The sequence below is a fragment of the Homo sapiens genome, chromosome 3 (genome assembly GCF_000001405.40).
Source record: "Homo sapiens chromosome 3, GRCh38.p14 Primary Assembly".
NCBI classification, from domain to species: Eukaryota; Metazoa; Chordata; class Mammalia; order Primates; family Hominidae; genus Homo; species Homo sapiens.
This window is the reverse complement of record NC_000003.12, coordinates 79,116,148-79,142,702: the sequence shown is the minus strand read 5'-3', so window position 1 is coordinate 79,142,702 and position 26,555 is coordinate 79,116,148. Positions and strand designations below refer to the sequence as shown.

Genomic DNA, 26,555 nt, shown 5'->3' with positions numbered 1-26,555 from the left:
AGTTACTATAGTAAACTTTTCATCCATTTCCCACATTTCCCACACATGTGCTAATCAATGTATTCACACAGGAGCCGCATCATTAGAACAAAAAGTCTTATATTTGCTAGTCACCTAGGCTGTGTCCACTCTAAACATGTGCAGAGGCTACTGAATCTACAGAGGAGCATATACTGCATATAATACAATTAAGTGTATTATGAATTATAAAGCAGAGGGTGCAGAAGGAAGGAATTAGTTGGTGCAGTATCTTCAAATACCTTCAAATCTTCTTCCTTCTGATAATCTCAACAACTTTAGTCACATCTCACTTGACTCCCAGAAGAAGGAACATTTATAGAGGACTGCCTCCTACTGTGTTTTATACTGTTGACCACCAGTAATTAATAGACTTCTTCAGCCAAAAACATTGGTGCCCATAAAATACTTTTACATATAAACTGTCCCCACTATCACTTGAATATGAATAAATACATAAATAGCCTAATATCTTTTAAGATATTTGGGGTTATTTTGTATGTTTTTTGTTCATAATCCTCACTCCTTCTGCATGCACACAAATAAACACATTTCTTAAAAATAGCTATTTTATTTTCTTAAGTTTCGCCAATTTCCATTAATTTACAATAAGAATGTCTCTTTTGGAAAAATATTTGTAAGTGAAACATATCATCTCACTATAAAATTCCTTGTGAGAATAAAGGCTGGCAGATATCCCCACAAAAAAAACCACAAATGTCAGTCTGAGAATCCACAGAGTAAAAACAAATAATACGCAGGAAAACAAAAATAAAAACATGTTATATGTGGTATGTATAATTATAATAAATAGTGTATATGTAGTATGTGTGTAATAAGACTGAATTAGCGAGAAATGGGAATGTCATTTTAAAATTCAGCTTTATGTTATAAAATAGAAATGTCCAAAGGCTGTGAGCCAAATAAACTGAAATAATAAAGAGAAGAAGAATCAAGTGCAAGTTTATTTGATCACCAGTGCCCTACCTGTGTGAATTTGCGCAGTGAAACCCCTTATGCCATAACCATTGCTACAAACAGCCTCCCTCTATGGAGAAGTGGGGGAGGGTGCAATGTGCAATCAAATGAGAGCTAGAGAAAAGAAAAAAAAAAAAAACAACAACAGCAACCACCATTGCCACTCTCACACTGAGAGGAAATCAATGGAAATGAATGAATCGGGGGTAAGCCTCGACTGCGCTTTCTGGTCCTCGATTGGACACAGCTAATCCCTGTGACCTTTAAAAAACCTGAAGGAATAAAATGACCCCAATAATCAAAAGCACAATTAGAATGAAGAGTGCAAAACCGTGACTGTGGTTAAGAAAGGCAGACAATGAGGAGACGATAGAGGAAATTTGTCCCTTTAGCAGTTGAGTGAATGCAACCTTAGAGGTGCCTTTAATGGTCACAGATGGATGGCAGCCACAAAATACAGGACACACGAGGGAGGGCAGGTGGGGAGGAATCGCAGTCGTCACATGATCTGGGCCCAAACTGCAGATGCTTCAGATGTCCCCCACCACCCTCCAATGCATCAAGCATAGTTTCTATCTCTCTACAGGAGACAGTAAAAGAAATTGGACAGATGTTGAAATATCACTGGGCAAGGAAAAAAAATGTTTCATCCTAACAGTGAAGAAATCTGCGGGGTAATTTCAATATCAACTGTGTTTTATTTTTCTTAGGAAATAAAATTCAGTGAATTCATCTTTATCAGCACAAAGCAACCAGGCAATTAGGCAACTAAGTTCTGCAGTTCAAGTAGTCTGCCATAAGGATGACATGCTGTCTATGTGGAGATACTTCCTGAATGATTCAGTGGGGTATTCCGTGTAAACGAGTGCTAAGGAAATGCAATGGTGAAGATGTGAAGAAACACAGTTAGACAAAAATGACATTTTCAAAATTCACTTTTCTCTTGAATTTTAACTGATGCATTATTCACTTTTTCTCTTCTATAAACTCCCAATTGGCAAATTACATAGAGACAGAGTGTGTGTTTTCTCATTGCAGGAGGCAAATATGTAGGATTTTGCTTGTTAAAAAATATAGATGATCCATTTAAATTGGTTTGTAATTTGAATTAATTATAATAATAGCAAACTTTTACTAACTTCTTATTAGGTATATAGGATTATCATAAGATTTTATAAATAAGTACTTATTTAATGCTCACAGACTCCTGTGAAATAGATAGTATTATTTCACATTTTATAGTTGAAGAAACTGAGGCCAATCAATAAATAATATATAAATAAATGAATGTAACTTGCCCAAAGTCACAGGGTTAGCTAGTGGCTCCTAAACATTACACTATATTGATTATCTAAATAAATGATAACATATATTTAGCTGTAGTGATTCCAAAATATCAAGTAAATAATTTGATATTTTGACTGAATTTAACAAAACATGTGAATCTTACTTGAATATCATTCTACACAGTAACCAGTAGCAGTGTTTATGAACATGGATTATTAACATACTTAAGGGAAGTGGCAATAAATTTACATATACTACGATGATAAAAGAGCACTGGGTAAAGGATAAGGAGATCTCAGTTTTTACTTAAGATCTCAGATGTGATCATCGTACCTCAAACCCAGGTAGCTACATCTACAAAAGGGATTCTATTTCTTCCTGATTCCCCATCCATCATTTAAATGCTATAAAAAGAGTACTCCGTTCATTTAGGTATTGCTATTGTGCCATTTTTGTGCCTGAAAATGTAGGATGTATTTGTTCATACTATAAGGGCAGCTGGGACACCACCTGTTAACTAACTTCAAGCACCATTTAATTAGCCTGTGTTGAAGTTACCGTATGCTTTGACTGGAAGGGAGTGGAACAGTAGCAGATGCTAAGCACAATAAAAGAAACGCCTTTGAATACCAGGGCAAAGTGGGTGGAGAGAATAACAAAAAAAGTCAACAGACGGAGAGAGCCAGAAGTATTAGTAAAATGGACCGGAAATTAACTCTCACAGATAAAGTTCAAGGCAGCAAATCTCTGCAGATTAAATTCCAACCCAGCAAGGTATCTGTCACATCAGATATTATTGAGGATTTGATTTGAGGATTTTGAATAAATGCAGACCTCAACCGGACAATTGGCTCAGTTTTTAATTCTATAAAGGGGTAGTCATCACATTATTTCTATGACAACCTCCATGACTTTCTTAAACCAAACGTTTAGACATCAAGAAAAAAACATGTTGTGTCATACTGATGCATAATTTCCCCAATTACTTTAAGAGATCTACTTTGTCAGTGTTTCCACTAGGAGAGATCTGGAAACAAATGGTTTTAAAATTATGAACATTTCTCCATCAATAGAATGATTTCCATACAGGAGGCACTCTATCTTGTTTAGTCAAATTAAGTTGAATTGAAATGAATTAATAGCTTCTTCGTGGCATTTATATTCTTCTGGGTCACAGGCTTATCCATTAACGAATTTACCTTCCTAATATTGCAATAGTGTATTTTATGTTAATAGAATTGTTTTATATATACATATATAATAGCATAAAATATATATATATGTTATTGATGTTCTTGCTTAAATATATATTAGGTATCTTTTATTTAGTCAGATTTCATCAGTCTGGTGTAGCTAGATGTACCCCAAATTAACTTAAACCAAACTCTACTTGACAATTTTTGTATAGTTATTCTACTTTTTTTGAGAATTGTAACACTTTTGGAGATTCAAAAATAGAATATAACATAAGCAAATGAAATATTAATTCCAACTTGTTATAATATCACTTTAATTTCAAGAGCAGCCTCTCAGAAAAATGCACTCCATTCATTCAAATCAGAATATATCTATACTTATATTTATGTCTATATCTATATATCTATATCAGAATTTCCTAAAATCAGAGGGAATTTGTAAAACTTAAATATAATTCATCTACCTGGCAATATTTAAAAACCTTCCTTGTTTATTCATACTATAATTTTTTTCAGTTTTTAGTATTACCACAATTTATTACATTTTATATCCAGTTTGTTAATCATCCCCTTTAACAAGAAAAAAAACTCTTACCAGTAAGACCCTTACCTGAATTAAGTTAAATAAGATTCTATTTCCAAATGTGTGCATAACACTTACAGGGGAGAAAAAGGAAGTAATATGTTATTCTATTAGAAATAGTAATTTACCATACTGTAGTTCTGAATTGGATTTATGGTGACTATAATATTTTAGATAGATAAGTATATGACAACATAAGGAGGTAATTCATATTCATTCCATGAACATTCATGTCCAAATAAGGAAATAATTCATGTTCATTCATTGAGAAAAGTTACTTCCATCTTAAACTCTTCATTCCAACAAAACTATGGCCCAGTGTTTCATCTAGTCATTCAACAAAAAAAGTATTGATTGTGTACTCTGTTCTTAAGCACTGTGTTAAGGCTAGGCATAGGATGATGAGTAAGACATGACCCTGTCTTAATCACCCTTCAACTTACACCAAAAGATTCATCTTTGTTGTTGAAGAATAATTTTTAGAAATAATTATCAAAAAAATCTCAATGTATCTTGATTTCAGTCAGTAGTTTGATCCCCAAATCAATATATTTTAAAACATTGTGGGCAAAGCCTTATGCTTTGGAACCCCATTTTAATAATTTTTTATTGTGTATTTCTTGCTTCAATACAACTGACTACCTTATTAAATACTTTATTTTATTCTGTCTGTAAAAGGACACATGAAGAAGTTCTGGTGATATGCTTAATGGACCTCAGAAATAGATTTGTGAAATTATCCAATCTTATTGTTCAGTGACTAGAAAAGAATCACTAACCTGGTGTCCCATTGTTTGTATGCTATTGAAATTCCATCTAGTTCCCAGAGTTAGATTGATGAATAAAAGGAGGTCATGGTGTGTAGTGAAAAGTGGAGTGCTTTGGAGTCAGAAATAATTTGGAATCAAATTTCAGATCCACTGTTTACTAGTTGCATGACAGAAGCAAAAGTACTCTGAGATTCGGTTTCAGTATCTTGAAAACGGAAATACTGATGAGAATCATGATGATGATGGCTAGGATCATGATAGAACTGTAAGCATTACATAAGAACACATATATGCATATAAAATGATGTGTTCTATTAAACAGACCAAAGCATTATATAAACATTACTTGTGATTATAATCAGTGCAGGTTTTACTTCCTTTTTTTCACATTTGATTCATTCAGTTATCTAATCACCTAAACCAGAAAATGAGAAAAAAAACAGTAACATGTATTTTGAGATCATTGTGTGAAATCTGTTTTTTTTTTATTTAGTAACGTCCTGGCATCTCAGGCCACAGGTTAAAATTACCTACTCTCCATTAAGATTATTTCAGCTTATCCAAATAATAAACTACTCTGACTTTTTTTCTTTTCCCAAAACTATTGGAAGACAACGTTTTCAAATTTTGAAAGAACCATCCAGTCACTAAACATTTTGTTTGAAAACAGATTTTACATCAAGGCTAACGTTTTTGTTTATTTTACCAAAACACAATTTCTAACAAGTATTGTCCACTTGGATCATTGTAATCATGGTTCTTCTATCTTTGAAAGAAACGTAAAGAAACAACCTTGATTTTTCTTATAGCAGCAACATTGGAGATGATTGTAACACATTGTTTTCTGTTCTCATATTGCTGCTTTAAAAATAATTTATTCAATATTTAGTGGCAATTTTTTAACTTCATACATATTATCTCTAATGTTCTACAGTACATAGATTTCTTCAGCTATTGTAAATATATTTCTTTATTTGCATCACTTACTAAATATTTCTAAGGAGGCACCACCTAAAAGCACCTACTGATTTTTTTTCCTCTCAATCTCTATAACATAACTTATATTTCTCCCTTATTCCCAGTTCAAAAAAATGGGACAGATAATAAAGTACATTCAACAATTATTTGGGCCATACATGATTAAAGCAGAAGTTTGAGTTTAACTTAAATTTGATCTTATAGAATTTTGATGCAAATTTAAAGCTTCACAAATATAGGGGTTTCTTGTATTTGATTTTATAATTCATTGCCTACGTTTCTAATTAAATGTTCTCAGTACTCCATTTAAAGTACCCTTTCCATGCATTCCTCTTGATTAGTAGGAAAGAATCGATGAGAATTGATCCAATTTGTAGAACACAATTCTCATATTGATAGTAGTTTATATTCATTTGCTTTTCCCTAATCTTTTATTAATGGTCATCTTTAAAATGTCAATTAATGCCAAAGCTCTGCACTGTGATAATGCAAATCTATAAAGAAACTAGCTTGACACTTTATAGTAAGTAGGGCAAAAGGAAGAAGCTTTTATGTTTTTATTATACATAACTGAATATGACAGAAGGAAAGAAGAAGGTTGGAAACCCTAATGTTTTGAGCTGTGATTGCAAACCCAATTTAAAAATTAAAAATAAATAAATAAAATTCTGAATTTAAACCAACAGGCTTTTCTCTTAGGCCTCTACATTTCCACAATATAATACTGGCTACCATGGGATGATAAACAATTTAAATTACTATGGATTGAATGCTACTGCAAATATGAGTCTTTGTACTACAAAACCAATATTACCTATTTTAATACCACTGGTGAAAGAGAAATGCCATTGCATGAATGTCTGCTGCACATTATGGAGAAGGCTTTAGATCATTAAATTTTCATCCACCATCCTTTAAACTTTTTAAATGTTTTTCATAAAAGATTGAGTGATTGGGCTGGGTGAGGTGGCTCACGCCTGTAAATCCCAGCACTTTGGGAGGCCAAGGCGGGTGGATCACCTGAGGCCTGGAGTTCGATAACAGCCTGACCAACATGGAGAAACCCCCTCTCTACTAAAAATACAAAATTAGCCGGGCGTGGTGCCACATGCCTGCAGTCCCAGCTACTCAGGAGGCTGAGGCGGGAGAATCGCTTGAACCCAGGAGGCGAAAGTTGCGGTGAGCTGAGGTCGCACCATTGCACTCTAGCTTGGGCAACAAAAGTGAAACTCCGTCTCAAAAAAAAAAAAAAGAAGATTGAATGATTGCTAATGTTATGTCATATTTGCTGTATCTCTTTCTCCCAAGATAGTTTTTATTCAACCATTTGAATATCACTTAGAGATATGATATCTCATGCCTTAATTATTCCACGTGTGTATCCTAAAAACTAAGTATGTTATTTTTTCTGGAAACTTTAAGCTGGATCTCAAGTCTTCATTGAACAATCAACAATTTTTTTTTCAGAAAGGCTTCATAGCTGATATTGTATACTGTATTATAGAATGGACTTCTCACTCTTAGTTGCCTGCTATTGGTGATAGTAAGTTTGATTACTGAGTTACAGATATGACTGTCTGATCTATCAATTATCAAAGTGTATTTTTTACTTCCAAGTTAGCAAATACCCTCTGGGGTGATACTTTTGCAGTGTAAAATATGCTATCTTCCAACAATTTTTCACTTAATAGATGTGGGGGTTTGGGGAGATGCTGGCCAAAGGACATAAAATTTCAGTTAGGAGGAATAAGTTCAAGAGACCCATTATACAACATGATGACTATGTTTAATAAGAACGTATTATAGTCTTGACCTTCTCTAAGACACTCAATTTTTTTTTTAATGTTTTTTTTTATTATACTCTAAGTTTTAGGGTACATGTGCACATTGTGCAGGTTAGTTACATATGTATACATGTGCCATGCTGGTGCGCTGCACCCACTAACGTGTCATCTAGCATTAGGTATATCTCCCAATGCTATCCCTCCCCCCTCCCCCGACCCCACCACAGTCCCCAGAGTATGATATTCCCCTTCCTGTGTCCATGTGATCTCATTGTTCAATTCCCACCTATGAGTGAGAATATGCGGTGTTTGGTTTTTTGTTCTTGCGATAGTTTACTGAGAATGATGGTTTCCAATTTCATCCATGTCCCTACAAAGGACATGAACTCATCATTTTTTATGGCTGCATAGTATTCCATGGTGTATATGTGCCACATTTTCTTCATCCAGTCTATCATTGTTGGACATTTGGGTTGGTTCCAAGTCTTTGCTATTGTGAATAGTGCCACAATAAACATACGTGTGCATGTGTCTTTATAGCAGCATGATTTATAGTCATTTGGGTATATACCCAGTAATGGGATGGCTGGGTCAAATGGTATTTCTAGTTCTAGATCCCTGAGGAATCGCCACACTGACTTCCACAATGGTTGAACTAGTTTACAGTCCCACCAACAGTGTAAAAGTGTTCCTATTTCTCCACATCCTCTCCAGCACCTGTTGTTTCCTGACTTTTTAATGATTGCCATTCTAACTGGTGTGAGATGATATCTCATAGTGGTTTTGATTTGCATTTCTCTGATGGCCAGTAATGATGAGCATTTCTTCATGTGTTTTTTGGCTGCATAAATGTCTTCTTTTGAGAAGTGTCTGTTCATGTCCTTCGCCCACTTTTTGATGGGGTTGTTTGTTTTTTTCTTGTAAATTTGTTTGAGTTCATTGTAGATTCCGGATATTAGCCCTTTGTCAGATGAGTAGGTTGCGAAAATTTTCTCCCATGTTGTAGGTTGCCTGTTCACTCTGATGGTAGTTTCTTTTGCTGTGCAGAAGCTCTTTAGTTTAATTAGATCCCATTTGTCAATTTTGGCTTTTGTTGCCATTGCTTTTGGTGTTTTGGACATGAAGTCCTTGCCCACGCCTATGTCCTGAATGGTGACACCTCACACGGCAGGGTATTCCAACAGACCTGCAGCTGAGGGTCCTGTCTGTTAGAAGGAAAACTAACAACCAGAAAGGACATCTACACCGAAAACCCATCTGTACATCACCATCATCAAAGACCAAAAGTAGATAAAACCACAAAGATGGGGAAAAAACAGAACAGAAAAACTGGAAACTCTAAAACGCAGAGCGCCTCTCCTCCTCCAAAGGAACGCAGTTCCTCACCAGCAACGGAACAAAGCTGGATGGAGAATGATTTTGACGAGCTGAGAGAAGAAGGCTTCAGACGATCAAATTACTCTGAGCTACGGGAGGACATTCAAACCAAAGGCAAAGAAGTTGAAAACTTTGAAAAAAATTTAGAAGAATGTATAACTAGAATAACCAATACAGAGAAGTGCTTAAAGGAGCTGATGGAGCTGAAAACCAAGGCTCGAGAACTATGTGAAGAATGCAGAAGCCTCAGGAGCCGATGCGATCAACTGGAAGAAAGGGTATCAGCAATGGAAGATGAAATGAATGAAATGAAGCGAGAAGAGAAGTTTAGAGAAAAAAGAATAAAAAGAAATGAGCAAAGCCTCCAAGAAATATGGGACTATGTGAAAAGACCAAATCTACATCTGATTGGTGTACCTGAAAGTGATGTGGAGAATGGAACCAAGTTGGAAAACACTCTGCAGGATATTATCCAGGAGAACTTCCCCAATCTAGCAAGGCAGGCCAATGTTCAGATTCAGGAAATACAGAGAACGCCACAAAGATACTCCTCGAGAAGAGCAACTCCAAGACACATAATTGTCAGATTCACCAAAGTTGAAATGAAGGAAAAAATGTTAAGGGCAGCCAGAGAGAAAGGTCGGGTTACCCTCAAAGGAAAGCCCATCAGACTAACAGCGGATCTCTCGGCAGAAACCCTACAAGCCAGAAGAGAGTGGGGGCCAATATTCAACATTCTTAAAGAAAAGAATTTTCAACCCAGAATTTCATATCCAGCCAAACTAAGCTTCATAAGTGAAGGAGAAATAAAATACTTTATAGACAAGCAAATGCTGAGAGATTTTGTCACCACCAGGCCTGCCCTAAAAGAGCTCCTGAAGGAAGCACTAAACATGGAAAGGAACAACCGGTACCAGCCGCTGCAAAATCATGCCAAAATGTAAAGACCATTGAGACTAGGAAGAAACTGCATCAACTAATGAGCAAAATAACCAGCTAACATCATAATGACAGGATCAAATTCACACATAACAATATTAACTTTAAATATAAATGGACTAAATTCTGCAATTAAAAGACACAGACTGGCAAGTTGGATAAAGAGTCAAGACCCATCAGTGTGCTGTATTCAGGAAACCCATCTCACGTGCAGAGACACACATAGGCTCAAAATAAAAGGATGGAGGAAGATCTACCAAGCCAATGGAAAACAAAAAAAGGCAGGGGTTGCAATCCTACTCTCTGATAAAACAGACTTTAAACCAACAAAGATCAAAAGAGACAAAGAAGGCCATTACATAATGGTAAAGGGATCAATTCAACAAGAGGAGCTAACTATCCTAAATATTTATGCACCCAATACAGGAGCACCCAGATTCATAAAGCAAGTCCTGAGTGACCTACAAAGAGACTTAGACTCCCACACATTAATAATGGGAGACTTTAACACCCCACTGTCAACATTAGACAGATCAACGAGACAGAAAGTCAACAAGGATACCCAGGAATTGAACTCAGCTCTGCACCAAGCGGACCTAATAGACATCTACAGAACTCTCCACCCCAAATCAACAGAATATACATTTTTTTCAGCACCACACCACACCTATTCCAAAATTGACCACATAGTTGGAAGTAAAGCTCTCCTCAGCAAATGTAAAAGAACAGAAATTATAACAAACTATCTCTCAGACCACAGTGCAATCAAACTAGAACTCAGGATTAAGAATCTCACTCAAAGCTGCTCAACTACATGGAAACTGAACAACCTGTTCCTGAATGACTACTGGGTACATAACGAAATGAAGGCAGAAATAAAGATGTTCTTTGAAACCAACGAGAACAAAGACACCACATACCAGAATCTCTGGGACGCATTCAAAGCAGTGTGTAGAGGGAAATTTATAGCACTAAATGCCTACAAGAGAAAGCAGGAAAGATCCAAAATTGACACCCTAACATCACAATTAAAAGAACTAGAAAAGCAAGAGCAAACACATTCAAAAGCTAGCAGAAGGCAAGAAATAACTAAAATCAGAGCAGAACTGAAGGAAATAGAGACACAAAAAACCCTTCAAAAAATCAATGAATCCAGGAGCTGGTTTTTTGAAAGGATCAACAAAATTGATAGACCGCTAGCAAGACTAATAAAGAAAAAAAGAGAGAAGAATCAAATAGACACAATAAAAAATGATAAAGGGGATATCACCACCGATCCCACAGAAATACAAACTACCATCAGAGAATACTACAAACACCTCTACACAAAAAAACTAGAAAATCTAGAAGAAATGGATACATTCCTGGACACATACACTCTCCCAAGACTAAACCAGGAAGAAGTTGAATCTCTGAATAGACCAATAACAGGCTCTGAAATTGTGGCAATAATCAATAGTTTACCAACCAAAAAGAGTCCAGGACCAGATGGATTCACAGCCGAATTCTACCAGAGGTACAAGGAGGAACTGGTACCATTCCTTCTGAAACTATTCCAATCAATAGAAAAAGAGGGAATCCTCCCTAACTCATTTTATGAGGCCAGCATCATTCTGATACCAAAGCCGGGCAGAGACACAACCAAAAAAGAGAATTTTAGACCAATATCCTTGATGAACATTGATGCAAAAATCCTCAATAAAATACTGGCAAACCGAATCCAGCAGCACATCAAAAAGCTTATCCACCATGATCAAGTGGGCTTCATCCCTGGGATGCAAGGCTGGTTCAATATACGCAAATCAATAAATGTAATCCAGCATATAAACAGAGCCAAAGACAAAAACCACATGATTATCTCAATAGATGCAGAAAAAGCCTTTGACAAAATTCAACAACCCTTCATGCTAAAAACTCTCAATAAATTAGGTATTGATGGGACGTATTTCAAAATAATAAGAGCTATCTATGACAAACCCACAGCCAATATCATACTGAATGGGCAAAAACTGGAAGCATTCCCTTTGAAAACTGGCACAAGACAGGGATGCCCTCTCTCACCGCTCCTATTCAACATAGTGTTGGAAGTTCTGGCCAGGGCAATCAGGCAGGAGAAGGAAATAAAGGGTATTCAATTAGGAAAAGAGGAAGTCAAATTGTCCCTGTTTGCAGACGACATGATTGTTTATCTAGAAAACCCCATCGTCTCAGCCCAAAATCTCCTTAAGCTGATAAGCAACTTCAGCAAAGTCTCAGGATACAAAATCAATGTACAAAAATCACAAGCATTCTTATACACCAACAACAGACAAACAGAGAGCCAAATCATGAGTGAACTCCCATTCACAATTGCTTCAAAGAGAATAAAATACCTAGGAATCCAACTTACAAGGGATGTGAAGGACCTCTTCAAGGAGAACTACAAACCACTGCTCAAGGAAATAAAAGAGGACACAAACAAATGGAAGAACATTCCATGCTCATGGGTAGGAAGAATCAATATCGTGAAAATGGCCATACTGCCCAAGGTAATTTACAGATTCAATGCCATCCCCATCAAGCTACCAATGACTTTCTTCACAGAATTGGAAAAAACTACTTTAAAGTTCATATGGAACCAAAAAAGAGCCCGCATCGCCAAGTCAATCCTAAGCCAAAAGAACAAAGCTGGAGGCATCACACTACCTGACTTCAAACTATACTACAAGGCTACAGTAACCAAAACAGCATGGTACTGGTACCAAAACAGAGATATAGATCAATGGAACAGAACAGAGCCCTCAGAAATAATGCCGCATATCTACAACTATCTGATCTTTGACAAACCTGAGAAAAACAAGCAATGGGGAAAGGATTCCCTATTTAATAAATGGTGCTGGGAAAACTGGCTAGCCATATGTAGAAAGCTGAAACTGGATCCCTTCCTTACACCTTATACAAAAATCAATTCAAGATGGATTAAAGATTTAAACGTTAGACCTAAAACCATAAAAACCCTAGAAGAAAACCTAGGCAAGACACTCAATTTTAAGTGTTCTCACTACAAGAAATGATGGGTGTGTAAGGTAATGCATATGTTAGGTAGCTGTATTAAGCCATTCTACAATGTATGCATACATATTTCAAAACATCATGTTGTACTTAATTTAAATTTGTCAATTAAAAAATAATTAATGTTTAAAAACCCAAACATTTAATGAATTATTATATTTAAAGACAAAGTTTCCTTGAGGACATAATTTATACTGTAAAGGAAGATATAGGTGTTTATTTCCTTTTATAGTTGTTGCTGTTATTATATATGTGAAAGACTGTTTTAAGATTGTCCACTTATATACTGTTTGTGTGTATGTATATATGTATGTATGTAATTACTAATTTATGTATGTACATATATACACACACACATATAACCTTATATATTGTAAGTTTAAGTATGGCATACAACCCCTACACAAAAATATATAAAGCCATATCGCAAAATATTTATAAACCATAAGCCTATAGATCAGATTTCAGTTTTAACCCCAGATGCTAACTTTTTACTGAATTGTAAAATACTTAAAATATTTAATATTTATGTAAAATATGTAACATAGGTAGGGACTATAGGAAAGAAGTAGGTTGAAAACAAGCCGATCAGTTTAGTGTTGAGTGAGAAAAAGTGTGAAGCTTCTTTGAATTTACATGAAGTTGAATCACCAATGGAAATAAATTTGGTTGTTGGTAGAGCATCCAATTGAGAAATGTACAAGTTGCATATGTTATGAAAAATAATCGAAGCCTTGGACTCAGATGAAGATATCTACAGACAGCATTTTGAAAAGAACAGGATGAAATCTGGAGCTGTGTGAAACACAAGTATTTAAGGAGTATGGGGAGGGAAACAAGCTGTCATGGATGAGGCATTAGTTCTATACATTCCTCCAGACTTGGAGTCAATGGATAGAAAATCTAGAAAAAAGATTTTTTAAAACAAATTTAAAAAACAAGACTTAATTATAAAATTGGAATTGATCACCCTGAAAAGCAGTGAAGGTCCAATGGCCACTAAATTCACAAGAGTGTATACGTCTCATCGAAGATTGTTATGGGGGTCCATCTGACCCATTTCCAACCCTGAATGACTATGATGTTATGATTCAAGACTTCCTTTTTATATTGAAAGATGCCTTATTGGTTTGTATGGATTTGAGGACATAGGATGTACAATAGCATTTGAGTTTATTTGTAGCAAGCTTTTTATCCCCGCTTTGCATAGAATACTGGTGCAGAAAATACAATTTACATCCTTTTCAATTGTTTCAGATTGAGCATCTATCACTTAAGTAAGGTTTGCATTCTTGGTTACCATCTCTTTACTAATTTATCTATTATTTTGGATTCAATGTAAAATGGGTAGGTACACAAATGAGAAGCAGACAGAATACCTGATCCTCAGGAATTTAGATTATAATGGGGGTGACAGACACATAAAACCCAGCACCTCTAGTGACAGTGTGTTTCTAGATGGGATGACAGCTTTCACCAATTGCAGCTGAACCTGTTTCAATTCAGGCCTGGGTAGCCCTAAATTCAGAGCTGGAATATAGGACCTCCTTTAGATATGGTAAACACACAATAGTCTCTTCCTTGCTATCTTCTAGTCCATAGCTCGCATAATCAATGCTATTTAACCAAAAATTTAAGTAAATGTCTTTGGACTGGTCTTAAATTAGTCCTCCAGCTCTGTCGCAGTGAGTCAAGTGGCTATTTCATGTTATTGTTATCTTTTGACAGGAAGGAGAAGAAAGAAAAAAATTAGCAAAGCAGCTAAAAATAGCACCTTTTGTTTCCTTTAGGTCTAGCATATCATTAATTAAAGGCAGAACAAGGTAGATTGAATGGACTTTAGAGATATGGTAAGATTCATTGATTAATGCAAAGATCTATTCTTTCCTGAGCCTAAGAAGGGGCCAGAAAGGTGATGAGTAGGAACAGAGAAGCAAATTTATAAGCCACTTAAGATAGGTTACATGCAGGTGGAAATCTGTTTTATATGATTTAGGTATCTCATTTCAAATGACAGTAAATTTATTTTCCTCATCTCTTGCTTTCATAATAATATCCCCATTCTCAGGAAGAATTCAATAACAAAAGTACACAAACCTCATCCCAAAAGTCTTGTAATATTGTGTAGACACGCTGATTTAATTTATATTGTGGATTTGGATGAATCTGTATAGTATTTGTAACAGAGTGATTAGAAATGTGTGCGTCCACATTAAATAACTGATTGCTTGTAAATTAAAAGTAGAACTTCCCTTAAAAGTCTGCATTGTGTTACTAAAAAATAATTCATAAAATTAAAGTGATTCTAAACACATTCTATCATTTAAAACAAGATTGTAGGTAAGCAGGGTGGTTTTCTTAAAAGCCGTTTCATGCATTTGACCAAGCAATTTCTGATGATCTTCCTACAACAGCCTCTTATATTTGGTTAGTTTGCATGAGCAAGATGACTTGTGACAGAACATTGTGAACACTGCCTCAAAACACACAAAAATGCCTGCTCCCCATTCTTTCTCACTGATGTGGCTTAAAAGTTTGACCTAAACAACGTGTGCGTGTAATAAGTTCACGGGCCGGAAAGGTAAAGTGGACGCTTTTTCTGCCTTATCACTTGCAGCATCTATTTTAAGGGTAAAATGACAACAGCCATCACTAGAGAGGCAAGGATGAATAAAGCAAGAATGAGTATCTTTTCTCTTTTGTCTGCACAGATCTTAACTTTTTTTTTTTTTTTCGTTTTAGCCACATCAGGTTATTATAATTACGCGACACTTACGGGAAGGAGGAGGGAAAGCAGGGAGATTAGGGGGGGAAATATGCCGCATGAAAAAACCAAGTGGACTCATGTTAGTCTTTGTATTCCTTTTTTAAGAATTTCCAAATCATCCCTGAATAGCTGTGTCTAAGACAAAATATGTTGACCTAGCTAGTGGAGACACAAAATTAATGACCTCTGTGATGTTTCTAGAGGGGCAGTACCTGCATGTACTCACTGGCTCAGCCATAAGTGACACACTGTTCCCCAAGTAAACATCTGCGCTTCTTCACTGCTCAGAACAAGAAATCCTTCCTCTGTAGATAATGTTAAAGGTGATTCTCTTGAAAGCCCGCAGAACATCAGAACTTGAATGACCTATGGCTCTACATTATTCGATTTAGGAGGTACACTCTTGTTTTTTATTGTGTCTGTGTCTGCTTCTCAGTAGCAGACCTATAAACACTGCTCATACTTATCTTACATATAGATGACAGGTAGAGTGTGCACCAGGGAAATTTGGTAGTGTCATTGAGCTTCTATATACACACATACTGCTCCTCTGCTACTCTGAGTCTGGATATGGAAACTGGAGTGTTGTTGTGCTTAGCCTCCACTCTAAAATTCTGCGTGGGAAAATTAATGTGCAATTTAAGAAAAACAGAAAAAATGCATTTTTTATTTAAGAAAAATAAGCATAGATGAATGAAAATACTTATACGGAATTTGGAATCTTTTAAAATATCCAATACTTTGGAATGTTTTAAAATATCCAACCCAAAATATCCAAAGTTAGATGTGTTTCAGTCATGCATTCATTGCAGTAAATTTATATCAGTCCTTTAAGATGAGAGATTGTTGCCTTCTGAAAGACGTGATGTTGCACCGTTTTCTTCCGTGTTTCTCAGAAAAAAGTATGACATTTTTATCATCCTCCCTCTTATTTGACAAGACCTGTTTTTCCCCACATCCTCCCTGCCTCATATGAGGTACAATCTCTGGAGTCTGTAATTGCCAGGAGATGAAGCGATGATGGGGAGTGATCACAGTCAATAGCTTTGATTAACAATAAGGTAGAAAATTAGCAATGCTAGCATTCAGCCACCCTGCCCTCTCCCTCCTCCATATGCTCTCTCAGTCCGTGCTGGCGGCCTCACAGAGGGCAGTCGGAGCCCTTCGCCAGCTTTGAAGTGTAGCAAAGGTGCAGGCAGGGCAGAGAATTAGGGAAATTAAGGAGAAAAAGTAGAAACTGTAAAAACCATGATGCTGAGACCTTCGCAGGGCTTAGTGTGCCGCAGGAGGGGCAAGGATGAAGCGTGCTGTGTGTTGTCCTTGTGTGTTTTTCTGTCACATGTGGATTTACTTGTGTCTGGACATGCTGTGATCGAAATGGCAACTACTGTTACTACTGTGACCCCATCAGCAGCTCTGGTGTTGTTTCCGACAGACCCTGAAGATGTAGAGAGGGGGAACGACCACGGGACGCCAATCCCCACCTCTGATAACGATGACAATTCGCTGGGCTATACAGGTAGAGTGTCTCTTTCCCAAATACTAACTTCCTCCTGAAATGCCTCCACCTCCATCAACCATCAACCACCTGTATAAAATTAATCGAATCATCCCTGCTTCCAGCTAACAACCACAATTTCTCATTTTTCAAACTTCATTCTGTTCATATCAGATCATATTGCTAAAGTAAACACTTTTAAGAACAGAAATGTACATGGAAACTGTAATCATTCTTATTGTTTTACTATGTTTAATACAAAAGAATGCTTATCAATCTGAAACTTTGATACTGCTAGTATTTTTAGAATGATATTTTCTTAGAAATTTAATATTTGACTAAGTTTTTATCATAAAGGAAAAAAACACTACCTGCAAGTAATTTGGATTCAAATTTATCTGTACTTTTTTTTTTTTACACTTGTAGTCTTAAAAACAAAAGAAAGCAAAACTCTTAGAGCGATGTAATTCATAACCACCAACTTACATCTTTGGATTGTGTTTGCATGACTTATTGTTACCTTATACACCAACGACTTCTGAAATAGATGCATGTGTACACCAGCATAATAGTAACAAATTAACTAATTGTATTAGAAATAATTGATATATAAATGTTTAAGAATGATCACCCTGGAAATATATGTGTCACATGGAATTTTTTGTTCTAAATATAATTGTATAATTTATATCTCTAACTCTGAGATAATTTGACTAAAACTTTAGGTAAGGAGAAGGAATACAAGACATCACTTATAACCCATTGAATTAGATAATGTTGTAACAGTGGTCTTGTTGTAAGATCAGCTATTTGTAATGTTCTCTTCATTGGTCCTTGTTAACACAGTTCTCCATAGACTTTGCTAAGTTGTGAGCTGTGTGGATAGGTTGTGTGTGTATGAGGTGGGGTAGTTAGGGTTAGAGATGATAGAGTCCTCTTCTGTATCATAACAATCATATAGATGATGGTGTTAAAAGAAAAACATAATTCAATAGGCACATTTCACTTTAGATAAAATAATAGACTTGATATTTTACTTTTGAAGCATCCTCACAGTCTTCATAAATATCATTCTCCAGTTTTGTTCCTTGCCTACATAATTGTAGGTTTTAAACACTTGAAATAAGTAGTACAGTTAATAAGACCTTTATAAACAACTTTAATATTGGTATATTTGTTTTGCTCTTATAAATAACTCATTTGCATTTTTCCTGTCTTCCAACATAAGAATGAGGATTCAAAGACCAACAAATGAAAGTCTATGGGGGTGGGATGGTGAGGGAGTTTGTGTGATACTTTCCCAGAAACTTAGCTACAAAAAAGTTGTAAATGTTATCCCTTAATACCGTCAATACCAAAGAAGTTCATATTTGTGAAAGGAGGAATCCAAGGTAGTATTCTTTCTCAGGGGTATCCTAATTTGCCAGTGCTTCTTAGTTCTATTCCCTTGTACTCACCCAGTCTAAACAACTGCATTGTTTTGATACAATAATAGAGTTTGCTCTTTATCTTTTGTGGATTTCCCAAAAATTATGTATAAGTAATGAATAAATCATGTTGGAGTCTTGAATTAAGAGAATTTAAATAACAATGCATTTCAGATTAAATATAGCATTAATGTTTTTCATTTTTATTTTTTCCCTTCAGGTTAATCAGGTGTCAGATTTGTCCTATTAAACATATCATTAGATAAATTAACATGAGGAAATAAACTTATAAAATTATCTTTATAGTCTATAATGGAACTAACTTAAAGTATTACAATTTAATGCAAAGTGACTGAAAGACAATCTTCTGAATAATCTTGTTCCTGAGACTGTAACTGTCTTTAACAACCTAGTGCTAAAGGAAGTCTATTCTGTATATTTTGTTTTGGAAAATTCTTGATTACTCAGAAACCTCTCTTCTGCTATACAAATCAAAAAATGTTATTTGTCTCTTTTGTTTGCATGTTAACCATACTTATATTCATTATAACTTCCATTGCAAGTGATAAGAACAATAAAGTAGAAAAAATAATGTTGACTGCATCATGACAACTGTAAAGAAAGATACCAATTGGCTATATAGTTGAGGAGTAATAGTTAAAAATATTAGTTAAAATTACCTACAGATATTGTTTTCTTTTGTGTGCACATGCATGTGTGTGAATGTCTGAATGTATGAATTCCCTGTACTAGAGTCACAGATAATTGAGTAGATAGAACCTTTATATTAGAGAAAATTGAGTTCAGAGGAAAGTGAGATGGCCTATCTGTCCAGGAACACTTTTATATATTTAATGTAAGTTGTCTAGAGTTTGGTATATCTGGAGTTTAATAACCCTGGGCATAGCAGCAAGAAGTTTTAAGAAATAAAATATACATATTAAGCAACTTAGAGAATGTGCAATGCAATTTTCACGTAAGTCATTGATATGAGTTAGTTACAAAACGATGTTAACAAGCAAGTATATTAGGTATTGTTTGTGGCATCTATATTTACACAATATCTCAAAATGGACTGTGCAGATTTTATACATCAGATGTTTATTTTTTTACTACATGTTGCTTCATTTCATTGAGGTAACATGTGAGACTTTTCTCCCTCACCCTAACATTTAGTATATATAAAAAAGAAAATAAACCTGTATAGTCCTGGAAAACATTTTTGGGGGGAACATGAAATAATCCCAAAAGAAGAAGATCATTATTTCACTAAAATTCCCATTTACATTCCCCTAATTATCCTTTTTTTCAATACTAAAAACAGTATAATTTCCACTGCAAGCTAATTTGTTACTACAACATCTGTTCTGATACTTAAGCCATTTGGGAGCATCACTATCAAACTGACCCATTTAACGAGAGTGCATGGATCTCATATCATACACATATCTTAAAATCTATATATCCACTAATGATCTAGTGAACAAATGATAATCTCTCATAATAGTAGTTGCTGCTTATATCATATACCATTCTAATCTAAATTTTGTAAGTGATTTAGTTGGGATCAAATTTTTAAAATGGAAATAGAGTATCAGGGAAGAAACATATTGATTCCTTTTCTCCTTACCATCTCTAGAAACAATGCTATAAAGCCATGTAAGGTTTTGAAATATTTCAGTTTCACTCTTACAAATCAATGAATGCAACACAATTTCTAAGGTAGCACTGTGGTATGTTATTAAAGTGGACTTGGGCATTATTTACAGTGAAGTGGCCCATTTCTTGTTTAACCACGCGTGTCATAAATATTGGGGGTTATTTAACAGTTCGCGGCATATAGCCTTTGTTGCAAGAACAAGTAAGAAGAGGTTTCAAATCAGCACTTTATTGGGTCAAACATACATCCAAAAGAGTCTGAATATGTAATAATCAATGATTTTTTGAAGAGGCTTTTGAAAGGAACAGAGTGTTTATTGACTGCTGGAAGTGCATATAGTGTTTCACAAATATAAAAAAATTAAGTAATAAATCTAAGAATATTGAAATTTCTGAAATATACGTATAATTTATGTATAGATTTCTGTCAAAAACTTTAGACAAGGACACAAAATTTAAAGAAAAATTTATTGATACATTAAAAATTCAGGGAATAAGTGGGTGCTAATGAAATCCTACTAACATTCTTAATCTTTTTACAAAGCAGTAATCAGGAAAGGAATTTAACATTATTCCTTTTTCTGAGTAACAAAAAAAGTCTGTAAATTTGACTTGAAATGTCTAAAATATACCCTTTGTCCCTAATTTTACATACTAAAATAAGAAAATGTCTTCCATCTCCACAGGTCTGTTTTAAGGAATAGGTGCCTATATTTACAATAGAATATTGGAAGAAATGTGATATGCAAATTTAAAATCTTAAAACTAAAAGATTATCAGAGTTTTGTCACTGTCAATTTAAGTAAAATCTAGCCATGAAATGTCAGAGGTTTCATAGTAATTTCAAATAGGGGTATTTAGGGCTTCTACCACTCAACACTACCTCCAAGTAAAGTTTGGTAATGATTGTTTAGAAGGAAACAAAATATATTCTCTTATTAAAAAAAACAAAAGAGAAAGAAAGAAAAGCATTGACAAATGAGTATGTTTGCCCATATAAACTTGAATCCAATCCCAAAACCTTGTTTTGTCTCATGCTTAGAAATTTCAACAAGAAACAATTGATGATGACACTGATTCTTGTGTCTCCCTACATTCTTCATTGTATTGCTTCACCATTCAAACTAAGCAAAAACACCATTTTGGTATGTGAATTTTTAACGTGTATGTACTGAATCTAATAACCAGTGTTCATTATTACTACACGCATGCAAGGCCATTTTCTGAGCACTTTACCTGCAACAACTCATTTAATCCTTACAACAACCCTCTAAGACAGTGCTATTATTAATAGAGACAGGGCCTGGGGTCTGCTTCAATATTCTAAAAGATAAATAGTTCAAAATTAATCACATCTTCCTAATCTCACATAGTCTTGAGTTTAAATGAGTTGTGTCTATAAGCTACATTTGGGCATGTAGTTAGAAATTGAACAGATCCACCATGTCAGATTTGTCAGAAATATTAAACATTATATAGTTAATCATTTTTCCCATTATCTTACTGTCACTTTATTTGTTAAATTAATAGTGAGAGTTTACATTAGTTTTACTAAGCAAACTATCCTTAGATGAGTCTGCTTCAGAGCTAAGTATGACACTGTAAGTACCTTTCCTTTTCTGTATACAATTGATTATTTTTTGGAGTCAATAGTTGCATTTTTTTAACATTCTAGATGCTCAATTATGTCCAGTATTCCATCAATCTGTGATTTTCTCTGACACCTCCCTCATTAAACCCTTCATATTTTTGTCCCAAACCCACTGGTTTCTCTTCAGACCCAAGACTTTCTTACATCACTCTTTTCTGTTGGATCTCCTGTTTCTTAGATCTAATTACTTTCTCTTTCCTGGTTTCTTCACTAATTAAAAGAAGCCTGTCCTCCAGAAAGCATATTCAAGAAAAGCTTGGAGAATATCAAAATCAAAAAAGTTTTACTAGGATGTGCTTGTGATATTCTGTCCACGCTTGCTTGTTGTTGATTTGTTTTCCTTCAACATAGGACACTAGATGGGCCCATTCAACCTGGAGAACTATTTATTTCAGCTATGGAAAATTTTCTTAATATTTTTATAATAATTTTTTTCATCTCTAGTTTCTCTGCTATCCTTCGGAATTGCTACTAGTCAGGCAGTGGGCCTCTTGGACTGATCCATTAGCCTCTTGTTTTTCTCTCCTAATTTCTAACTCTTTGTTTTTTTCTCCAACTTCCTGGGAAACAACCTTTATGTTTATTGTCCACAAATACTTTTATCACTGTGCTTAGTACATGGGGGTATATGAGGTATACTATCTTTTAAGATCAAAACCATGAATCACAGCCGGGCATGGTGGCTCACACCTGTAATCCCAGCAGTTTGGGAAGCCAAGGTGGATGGATTACATTGGGTCAGGAGTTTGAGACCAGCCTGGCCAACATAGTGAAACCCCATGTCTACTAAAAATACAAAAACTTAGCCAGGCATGGTGGCATGTGCCTGTAGTCCCAGCTACTCAGGAGGCTGAGGCAGGAGAATCACTGGAACCCAGGAGGTAGAGGTTGTAGTGAGCTGAGATCATGTCACTGCACTCCAGCCTGGTCAAGAGAGTTAGAATCTTTCTCAACAAGAAAAAAAAAAAAATCCATGAATCACTCATCTGTGGATCAATCTGGTGGCCCCATCATTAGCTTCTCTTTATAACCTTATGGATTACTAATTTATGCATAACAGGAAATTAATAAACATTTCTTAAAATGAAGATAAATTAAACCATCTCTACTTGGTACAAATCTATATTGGAAATAAAGTTATCAACTCACATCAATTTAATCAATTGGTTTAGTCTTTCAATAGTTCTGGGAAATAAATATAAATGTGTCAAATTTGTGATTTGTTTTGGGTGACCTCAATTATTAAGAAATTTTGCCAATTCTTGGAAAATATGCAAGCAAGCAAATGAGACAGAAATTAGCATCGTGGGTTAAATTCATGTCTCATACTCCAAAAGTCTTTTCCCTAGAATTCAGAGAAAAAGAAAAATGGTTTAATTTTCATAATAATGGACAATAGGTAGTAGACATGCGTAATTCTATCCTCCTGAAGAACACAGGACATGGGAGCTTCAAGTGGATTTGAGCATTAAAAAGTAAATTAAGCTCTAACAATAATTGGAGTCTGTGAAGAACAGTTTAAAGCAGTTTATCTTAATTATTTCTTAAAAATTAAAGGTTAATTGTGTGTTTTCCACACATTTATTAACACTATTTCTAACACTAAAGTTTCTCATTAGCACTTTGGAGACTTAAACCTTTCCAAGTGAACAAATATATATGTAGATATTTCTCGTTAGTAATTTGATAATATTTTCCGTGTGGAAAACTTGGGAGCTGAACATTTTGAGTTTTTATAGTGGGGAAGGAAAAGCAGTATCTGAACTTAAATAAAATATTTTAAATCTTGATTTTGATAGAAAATTTTCATTTAATTACTTTTGATAAATAGTTTTAACTGTGGAGAGATTGCTTCAAATTTTTTTTTTTTTTTTTTGAGTTGGAGTCTTGCTCTGTCACCAGGCTGGAGTACAGTGGTGGGGTCTCGGCTCAATGCAACCTCCACCTCCCGGGTTCAAGCAATTCTGCCTCAGCCTCCTAAGTAGCTGGGACTACAGGGACGCACCACCATGCCCAGCTAATTTTTGAATTTTTAGTAGAGATGGAGTTTCACCATGTTGGCCAGTATGGTCTCCATCTCCTGACCTCATGATCCACCTGCCTCAGCCTCCCAAAGTGCTGGGATTACAGGCGTGAGCCACCGCGCCCAGCCCAATTTTTAAAATATAAGCAAAAGCTACAAATTTTAGGGATGCCTAGGTAAGTAAACACACTCAGAAACACAAAATATACATAAAATATACAGGTGTTCATTAGGTATGCCAACATCCATAAGGTAGAATTTATGAAGAATTCAGATTTAAAGTTTTATTAAGAAATTTTAGGGAAATTTAAAGAAACAAATAATACTTGGGTTGTAGCAGCTACAGTAGTGACTGGCTAATTATTTGGATAATTCAGTAAGAATCTTTGTTTACCCAGCAATTTATGCAAGAAAATTAATATTTGCTGGGTGCAAAAGTAATTGAGGTTTTGCCATTAAAAATTGCAAAAAAAAAAAAAAACCCACACAATTACTTTTGTACCAGCCTAATATTTTTAGCTGAACTATTCTTCAGGTTGACTGCGGACGACTGGCTTTGGAAATGACTCTACTAACCTAGTAAGACTCGTACCTGTCTCAAAAGCCTTCAAAGTAGTACATGCCGATATCATGATGCTCACCTTCCAGTGAGCACAAGCCATGGGTACAGTCTCATCTCTGCACTTCTTTATATTACTGTTGTGGCCCTATGGCAATTATTGTCTTCATGTTTGTTTTAGTTTTTCAATTCACAGAAAGGAAATATTTGGCAGTCTACAAATTTTTCTTGAAAACCAGAAGACAATTGGCTAACCCTTCCTAATCTCTAATTCTTAGAGAGAATTTTGGACAATGATGAATTTTTCTCCTTGTACTTATTCCTGTAAATATTTTTTTCACTATCATAGACATCAGTCCACCTTCCATTTATTTCAAAAAGTTAATATTTGGAGGGCTAAGTGAAAAGTACGTATGTGTCTAAATAAAAGTAAAACATTTTACTGTTACTTTACATTGCTTGAAAGAAACTATTTAGTCAGCTACAGGTTGGTATTGCAGTGATATACGTGGGTATTACAGTAGGTTATGCCACAGTAACAAGCAAAAGTAAGATTTCCATGACAACACAACTTAAGTGTTCCCAGGCAAAGAAATGGAAGTTTCTTCCTCACTTAGGCCTCCCAGGTCAGGCGCACTCTATTCAACATGGTCACTCAGATTCCTGAGGCCAAGAGATGTCCCATCTTGACACAGGATTCTGTGACTGCAACAAGTACAATGATGAACTGGCTTTACAGGCTTCAGCAGAGAAGTAACTCCTGCTCTTTTTTTTTTTGTTTTTGTTTTGAGATGGAGTCTCTCTCTGTCGCCCAGGCTGGAGTGCAGTGGTGCGATCTTGACTCACTGCAACCTCCACCCCCAAGGTTCAAGCAATTTTCCTGCCTCATCCTCCCAAGTAGCTGGGACTACAGGTGCGTGCCACCATGCCCAGCTAATTTTTTTTTTATTTTAGTAGAGATGGGGTTTCACCGTTTTGCCCAGGCTGGTCACGAACTCCTGAGCTACGGGCAATCCGCCCACCTTGGCCCCCCAAAATGCTGGGATTACTTCTGCTCTTTTATTTATCCAAAGACAGCCTTGTGGACATACCTAACTACAACAGCATAGGGACATATAATCCTACTATGGCTCTTAGAAGAGGAAAAACTAAAAATACAGTCGGCCTTTTGTATTCACCACTTCTGCATCCATGGATTCAAAATCTCTTTTAAAAAGCAATTAAAAATAGTAATGCAACAATAACATTTATACAAACTTTATAATAGTACAGTATACCAACCATTTACATGGCATTTACATTGTAGTAGTAATATAAGTAATCTAGAGGTAATTTAAATTGGCCCGACCTGGTAGCTCATGCCTCTAATCCCAGCAATTTGGGAGGCCAAGGTGGGCGGATCACTTACGGTCAGGAGTTAGAGACCAACCTGGGCAACATGGTGAAGCCCCGTCTCTACTAAAAATACAAAAATTAGCTGGGCGTGGTGGTGGGTGTCTGTAATCCCAACTACTTGAGAGGCTGAAGCAGGGGAATCGCTTGAACCCAGGAGACAGGTTGCAATGAGCAAAGATTGCACCACTGCCTTCCAGCCTGGGTGACAAAGTGAGACTGTCAAAAAAAAAAAAAAAGAAGAAAGAGAGAAAGAAAAGAAAGAAAGAGAGAGAGAAGGAGAGAAAGAGAGAAAGAAACAAAGAAAGAAAGGGAAAGGGAAAGGAAAGGAAAGGAAAAGAAAATAGAGAAGGAAGGAAGGAAGCAAGGAAGGAAGGAGAGAGAAAGAAAGAAAAGAACGAAAAAAATAAGAAAGAAAAAGAAAGAAAGGAAAAGAAAAGAAAAAGAAAAGGAAGGAAGGAAAGAAAGAAAGAGAAAGAAAGAAAAGAAAGGAAGGAAGGAAGGGAAAGAAAGAGATTAAATTATACAGGAAGAGGCTTGTGGGTTATATGCAAATACTAAGCCATTTTATGTATGGAAATTAAGCACCTATGGATTTTGGTATCTGCAGGGGATCCT

General features: G+C 35.5%; 1 protein-coding gene across 10 annotated transcripts in view, besides 1 other annotated feature; it reads left to right on the top strand.

Moving 5' to 3' along the window:
- The window catches only part of ROBO1 (roundabout guidance receptor 1), a 1,170,760-nt gene that overhangs the window by 625,296 nt on the left and 518,909 nt on the right, over positions 1-26,555 (top strand). For 9 of the 10 annotated variants that reach the window (XM_047448664.1, XM_047448661.1, XM_017006984.1 and 6 more), the window contains exon 3: positions 17,164-17,247. The exons of the other annotated variant lie outside the window; for it this stretch is intronic. In XM_047448664.1, coding sequence (XP_047304620.1) covers positions 17,164-17,247 — 84 coding nt within the window. The remainder of the gene's footprint in view (positions 1-17,163; positions 17,248-26,555) is intronic. 10 annotated transcript variants of the gene reach the window in all.
- Positions 16,527-17,026: an enhancer, noted in NCBI's record as "H3K4me1 hESC enhancer chr3:79174827-79175326 (GRCh37/hg19 assembly coordinates)". NCBI's record gives its function as "activates a minimal SCP1, AML or CMV promoter by ChIP-STARR-seq in primed H9 embryonic stem cells {active_cell/tissue: H9 hESC(primed)}" and the evidence as "EXISTENCE:reporter gene assay evidence [ECO:0000049][PMID:30033119]".